The sequence below is a fragment of the Homo sapiens genome, chromosome 7 (assembly GCF_000001405.40).
Source record: "Homo sapiens chromosome 7, GRCh38.p14 Primary Assembly".
Classification (NCBI taxonomy): Eukaryota; Metazoa; Chordata; class Mammalia; order Primates; family Hominidae; genus Homo; species Homo sapiens.
The window spans coordinates 128,121,007-128,127,696 of record NC_000007.14 but is presented as its reverse complement, the minus strand read 5'-3'; the positions used below and the strand labels follow the sequence as shown (position 1 = coordinate 128,127,696).

At 45.9% G+C, this 6,690-nt stretch overlaps 1 long non-coding RNA gene across 1 annotated transcript; it reads right to left on the bottom strand.

Annotated features, from left to right (window-relative positions):
- Positions 1-1,334: 1,334 nt before the first annotated feature.
- Positions 1,335-5,812, bottom strand: LOC105375493 (uncharacterized). The gene is made up of 3 exons (XR_927944.3): positions 5,777-5,812; positions 5,389-5,472; positions 1,335-1,464 (listed from the first exon to the last, which is right to left on the bottom strand). It is a non-coding gene; the product is annotated as an uncharacterized LOC105375493 (long non-coding RNA).
- Between the last annotated feature and the right edge of the window lie 878 nt (positions 5,813-6,690).

Genomic DNA, 6,690 nt, shown 5'->3' with positions numbered 1-6,690 from the left:
GAGCAAAACTCCGTCTCAAAAAAGAAAAAAAAAAAAAAAAAAAAAAAGAAGGGGGCCTTTGGGAAGTAATTAAGTCACAGGAGTGGAGCTCTCATGAATGGCATTAGATATCCCAGAGAACTAGCTTCTTCCGTCCACCATGTGAGAAGCTAGTTTGCTTCTATTCCACCTCATAGAAGGTGCTATTTATGAGGAAGCAGACCCTTCATCTACTGGTGCCTCGATCTTGGACTTCCCAGCCTCTAGAATGATGAGAAATAAATTTCTGTTGTTTATAAGCTACCCAGTTTATGGTATTTTATAATAGCTGCCCAACTAAGACAGTACCAGACCCAGAGGGTATATTAAGGTGAGTTCTATGAAGCTTTTTTATTTATTTATTTATCTATTGATTTATTTTAGATTAAAAAAATATTTTTAGAGATGGGTTCTTGCTTTGTTGCCCAGAGTGGGATTGAACTCCTAGGCTCCAATGATTCTCCTGCCTCAGCCTCCCAAAGTGCTGGGATTACAGGTGTGAGCCACCACACCTGGCCTATTTATTTATTTTAGAGGCAGGGTCTTGCTCTGTTGCCCAGGCTGGTCTTGAACTCCCGGCCCCTCAAGCAATCCTCCTGCCTTGGTCTCTCAAAGTGTTGCAATCATAGTTGTGAGCCACTATGCCTGGCCCCAACTTTTAAATTATTACATAATACTCATTTTGGATAAACTTCCAGTTTATACAGAAAAGAGATGGGAAAGTCTTAATCTAATTTTCTGATAATAGGATCACTGTGATCCTGAAAGTCGACATGGACAGCACAAGAGGGAAAACTACAGCCACTTCCACTTATACACACAAATACAGAATTACTAATCAATCAATGACCAAGTAGGGTTGTTCCAGAAGAATATGCAAGAAAAGAGTTGAATAAATAGAAACGATACCATGTTCATGGATGGGAAGGCTCCATTATAGGTCTTGTACATTTTTTATTAGGTTCTTTTTCGAGTTTATATTGCTGTTAAGATGCTGTGCCCGGCCGGGCGCGGTGGCTCACGCCTGTAGTCCCAGCACTTTGGGAGGCCGAGGCGGGCGGATCACGAGGTCAGGAGATCGAGACCATCCTGGCTAACAAGGTGAAACCCCGTCTCTACTAAAAATACAAAAAAAATTAGCCGGGCGTGGTAGCGGGCGCCTGTAGTCCCAGCTACTCGGGAGGCTGAGGCAGGAGAATGGCGTGAACCCGGGAGGCGGAGCTTGCAGTGAGCCGAGATCGCGCCACTGCACTCCAGCCTGGGCGACAGAGCGAGACTCCGTCTCAAAAAAAAAAAAAAAAAAAGATGCTGTGCCCAGTATATATTGGGTCCAAGAAGATAAAAGCCAAATACTGACAAAAGTAGAGAAAAAAGAAAGAAGCTCAGTTTCTTGTGGACACCATGGGGTCTCTGCATTAGCTCTGGTCTGCATCCCTTTGGATTTACCTGTTATGCAAAATTTAAAATCCTATTATATTAAGTATCTGTTTGCCTCTGTTACTAAAAGCTGATACAAAGCCCAATAAAACTTTCAATAAGATTTTTCATGACACTTGACACACAAATTCTGAAATTCTTACTGAAGAATAACACACCGACATTCCAGGAAGTGAAAGAGGGAAATTGGGAAAAGGAAGGGGCAGTGCCTATAGCAGAAAAACTTTCCCAGAAATTCCCCCATAGACTTCTTGCTTTTTCTAGGCCAGAGCTAGGTCACATGGGAGTCCCTAGCTTCAAAGGAGACTAGGAAATGTAGTTATTTCTGAGACATTATTGCCACAAAAGTATACTCCAGATGAATTAAAGATCTAAATGTAAAAAAGAAGCACTTTAAAATTATTAGAATAAATTAAGAAGACCATCTTTTTTCACTTTGGGGTAGAGAGGGCTTATTTATTTATTTATTTATTTATTTTTGAGATGGAGTCTCACTTTGTCACCCAGGCTGGAGTGCAGTGGTGTGATCTTGGCTCACTGCAACCTCTGCCTCCCAGGTTCAAGCAATTCTCCTGCCTCAGCCTCCTGAGTAGCTAGGATTACAGAAATGTTCCACACCAAGCTAATTTTTGCATTTTTAGTAGCTTTCACCACGTTGGTCAGGCTGGTCTTGAACTCCTGACCTAAGGTGATCCGCCTGCCTGGTTCTCCCAAAGTGCTGGGATTACAGGAGTAAGCCACTGTGCCCAGCCAAGAGGGCGTATTTAAACAAGACACAAAGTCTAAAAATCATAAAGAAAATTTTACAAATCAAAATTAAAAATTTGTACAAGGTACAAAATACTATAAACACATTTAAAAGGCAATCAACATTGCCTTTTAACTGGTGACTGGTGACAAACATTTTAAGTGTACAGAAAAGGAATTGAAATTCATCATTTGTAGAGCATTTACAAATCAATAGGAAAAAGAAAAATGACCCAAGAGAAAAGAAATGAGCAGGATATTAATGTGTAATTCACAAAAGAGAAAATATAAATGGCCAATAAACACATGAAAAGATGCTCAACCCCAAGAGTGATGAAGAAAATGCAAATCAAAACTCCTAGGAGATACTATTTTTAATCATCAGCTTGACAAAAAATACTTTATTAACATCAAGTGCTACTGAGGCGTGTGGAAATGAGCATGCTCATATAACCGCTGGGGGAAGGGTGTGAATCTTAGCCACTCTTGAGAGTGATTTGATCGTATCTACTCAAAGCAGAAAATGTGCATTTCCTATAACCTAGTGATTATGCTTCTGTGTGTCAGCACTAAATAAATACTCACACGTGTATGGGGAACCATGCCCAGGAATGATCATTGAAGTATTTTTGAAATAGCAAAGTTGTGGAATGGATAAGCAAAATGTGATATATTTTTAGGACAGAAGACTCTGCTGCACCTCATTCCAAAAGGAATGGACCTGGTTTAAATCTATCTAAAATCTTCAAATCTAAGATGTAAAAAAAAAAAAAAAAAAAAAAAAAAAAAAATCGTTAAGTAAAAAAAAAACAGTTGCAGAATATGCATACCATTTATATTATTTAAAAAACACATACCCCAAACAATACTATCTATTTTCTGTGGGTATATCTAATGAATTTCAAAAAATTTTTTAATCTCTTGGATCCACACCAAAATCATAATAGTGGTCTACCTCTGGAGATAGGAGAGGGGCAAAACTGTTGGGTTAATGGAGACTTTAGATTTATTTTTGATAATTTTAAAGGTGAATAGATTCAAGTATTGATATATTAACTTGTAATTGAAATGAATTCAAACTTCAAATCATAAAAAACATAAATTTATATCAGGCTAATTTATATATTGTCCATAGTTTGTTGTGAATAATTGTGTTTGGTTAATAGCAAACCATATAGCGGTCTCATTCCTGTAGTTTTCAGTGAATCCTTTTGCTGTCTTCATAAAAGGCTCCTTCCAGCTCTCCCTTCATGGAAAGTCTGGATCTTTCTGATCCCAGAGTAGGAAGAGCTATGAAGCGTGATCTTTAGAGAAGTGTGATGTGATAAGGCATGTTCTAAGAGGCTCCACAGACTGGGCACGGTGGCTCATGCTTGTATTCCCAGCTCTTTGGGAGGCTGAGGTGGGAGGACCTCTTGAGCCCAGGAGTTTGAGGTGGCAGCGTGCTATAATTGCACCAGTGCACTTTAGCCTGGGTGATAGAGCAAGACCTTGTCTCAATCAATCAATCAATCAGTATTAGCTGGGCATGGTGGTGCTTTCCTGTAATCCTAGCTATTTGGAAAGCTGAGCCCAGGAGGCGGAGGCTGCAGTGAACCCTGATGGGGCCACTGCACTCCAGCCTGGATGACAGAGCCAGAGCAAGGCTACCCAGCCACTGGGGTGCCCTGCAGGAGCGCAGTTTCCTAAGCTCATGTAGCCCAGATGCTCTCTGTGAAAGAGAGCCAGAGACTGGAACCTGGGGCCGCTATGAGTGCTGCAGCTCATTTCCTGCCTCCCTGGGGTGGGCTCCGTCAGGTGACCCTGGGGCTCAGCACAGGTTGACCTGCCCTCTGCCAACCCTCTCACATCTCCCCCTTAAGTGGGGCCCTGAGGGAATCAGTATCTCTGCGCTCTCCCGCAGCCCAGCCCTGGGCCTCCTATCCCTCTGTGAGCCCATCCCTGGCAGTCTTAATTAACTTCCAGAGACACAGAGACACGCAATAGCCTTGGGTGACGGGAGCTATAAAATTGCATAGTCTGATTAAAAATAATAATGAGAATACCTACTGCCCATTAGCCTGTGCCTGAGCCCTTAACAAGGGTTAGTTAATTAATCAGCCGGCTTGCAGCCTGAGGAGCGGCAAAGGTTACTGGTGCTCTTTTAGAAGAGGGGCCAGAGGTCAGTGACAAGGGGCTGGTGCTGCGAGGAAGGGCTTTCCGTGACCTACTCTGGCCTTTCATAGCTGCTGGGTCACCAGAAGAGAGAAATAAGCCCTCTAAGCTGGCCATCGCTGTCTGTGTGACTTCGAGAGGTAGCTCCCCCTTCCTGGCCTCAGTTTCCTCATCAGTAAAATGCAGAGATTGGAATGACTGTTCTCCAGGGCTTCTTCCAGCCCCGATGTTGGGGACAACCCAGGTGGCTAGAGAGCCACATCTACTGCATCTGCCGCCACCTCCTTAGAAAGCAGGGCAGGTCCGGGATCTTCTTCAAGAATAGGAGGGTCAGCCCCTGACCCTGACCTTGGCCCTGCCCCGCAGTGAGACCCTGGGTGGGTAAACACGCCAGGCCACCTCTGCCCCTTGATGGCCTTGTTTGTTTGTTTCTTAAATTGTGGTACAAGATATGTAATGTAAAATGTGCCATCTCAACCACTTCCAAGCGTGCAGTTCCCGTGGCATTAAGTAATTCATGTTGTGCAACCATCACCACCCTCCACCTCCACAACTGTTTTTCATCTTGCAAAACTGAAACTCTACACCTGTTAAACACTACGTCCCCGTTCCTCTCCAGACCCCGGCCCCTGGCAAGCACAATTCTACTTTCCTTGTCTGTGAATTTCACTAATCTAAGCACCTCATCTGAGTGGAATCCCACAGTGTTTGTTCTTTTGTGACCAGCTTATTTCACTTAGCACACTGTCCTCAAGGTTCACACACGTTGTTGTAAATTTGGGATTTTCCTACCTTCTAGGGAGTCCAGCCTGGGAGCCGGCCGGGGGGTGGGGGGGGCATTGGGGGGGACGGGGTGTGGGGGAGAAGGGCAGACAGACCCTGTGGTTCATTCTTACCCAGGGGCTGTCAGGCCTCATGCCAGGGCCTCCCGGAAGATCCAGGATAAAGGGGCACAGCCTCCAGGCATGTCGGTTTTACTCACTGGTAAATAGTGTCAAACATTACACATTAAAATCAACATGAATACATTACCGAGCAGAAGGCAGCGTGCACATGAATTTAAAAACTGGGACTTGAAAGAATTCTGTGCTTGTGGCGAATTTTCTTCTTTGAACCCTGGGGGAATTGGATGGGAAGCTGAAGGAAGTACAGCCCATGAGCCCCAGCCTGCCCTGGAATCTGGTTTGTTTTGGCCTGAAGTGTGCAGGGCAGGGCAGGTTAGGAGAGACGGGGCAGCCAGGGCGGCTGGGACTCCCACCTCCCCCAACTATAATTTATGCCTTAGAAGCCTAAGGGGTCACGATCATTGTGAACCTAGTGGGTGCTCTAAGCCCCATGGCTGCCAATCAGGGTTGCACCTCCTTAAGCCAAAGGGCCCAGGGCTGGGGATTGCCAGTAGCGCGGTCATGCCTCACCGTACCAGCGGCTTCATGGTGGAAGCAGGAAGCGTGGAGAGGCGGAGGTGGGAGCAGCCAGCTTAAGCCTCCGGCTGCCTGTGCTCTCCACTATTTCCTCCCTGAGCTAGGAGAAGTTGCCAAAGGCAGTTGCCTCCCCAGGGCCACCCCACACTCTGGCGTCTGGGGGAGCCGCCAGGAAGTGCCAGAATCCACCGCCAAAGCCCTCTCCTCTGCAGCCAGAAACGCTGCACAATAATTTGGCCTGAGAGATGAGCACCGGAAAGTTGCCATTTAATTTAATTTATTCCAATTTAACTTTAATTTCAGTGAGTCCACATTTGCTCCCCAAGCTATCTTTTCGCTCCCGAGGTTGTTAAATTATTGTAGCTCGTGAAGAAAGGGAAGATGGAAAATGGTAAGAGCCTCAAGGAGCCAGCCCAGCCCTGAGGCCCCCGTGTGTCCTGTATGTTCCCTCGGGGACTCTCAAGGCCAGATTTACTGGGGGAGGGGGGCTGGGCACGGCCACCTCTGATGCACCCAGAGCCCTCATCACCCACCCCAGAGTGAAAAGGGTATAATATTAACAATTAACCTAGCATCTGCTATGTGCCAAGATGCCTTACCTTGGTAGCAGGCGTTATTCCTATCTCTCAGAAGAGCCACCTGAGGCTCTGAGGCCAAGGATACACAGCCTCTAATGGAAGCGGGTGTGAAAAACCCCATCTGGCTGCAGTAAGGAGGGTGCAGCTGGGGCTGGGCTCAGCAAGGAATCCGAAGGGCCATGGCACTTGTGTCCCAGAACCCTCTCCCAGCCAGAGGGGCAGTCAGGGCTAGGGCCCTCCAGAGCCTCTGCCTGAATCCCAAACAACAGTTCTGGAAAGGGACCCGCATCAGAAAGGACCACAGAGGGAGCACCCTGGATTTGCACATCAGCTCT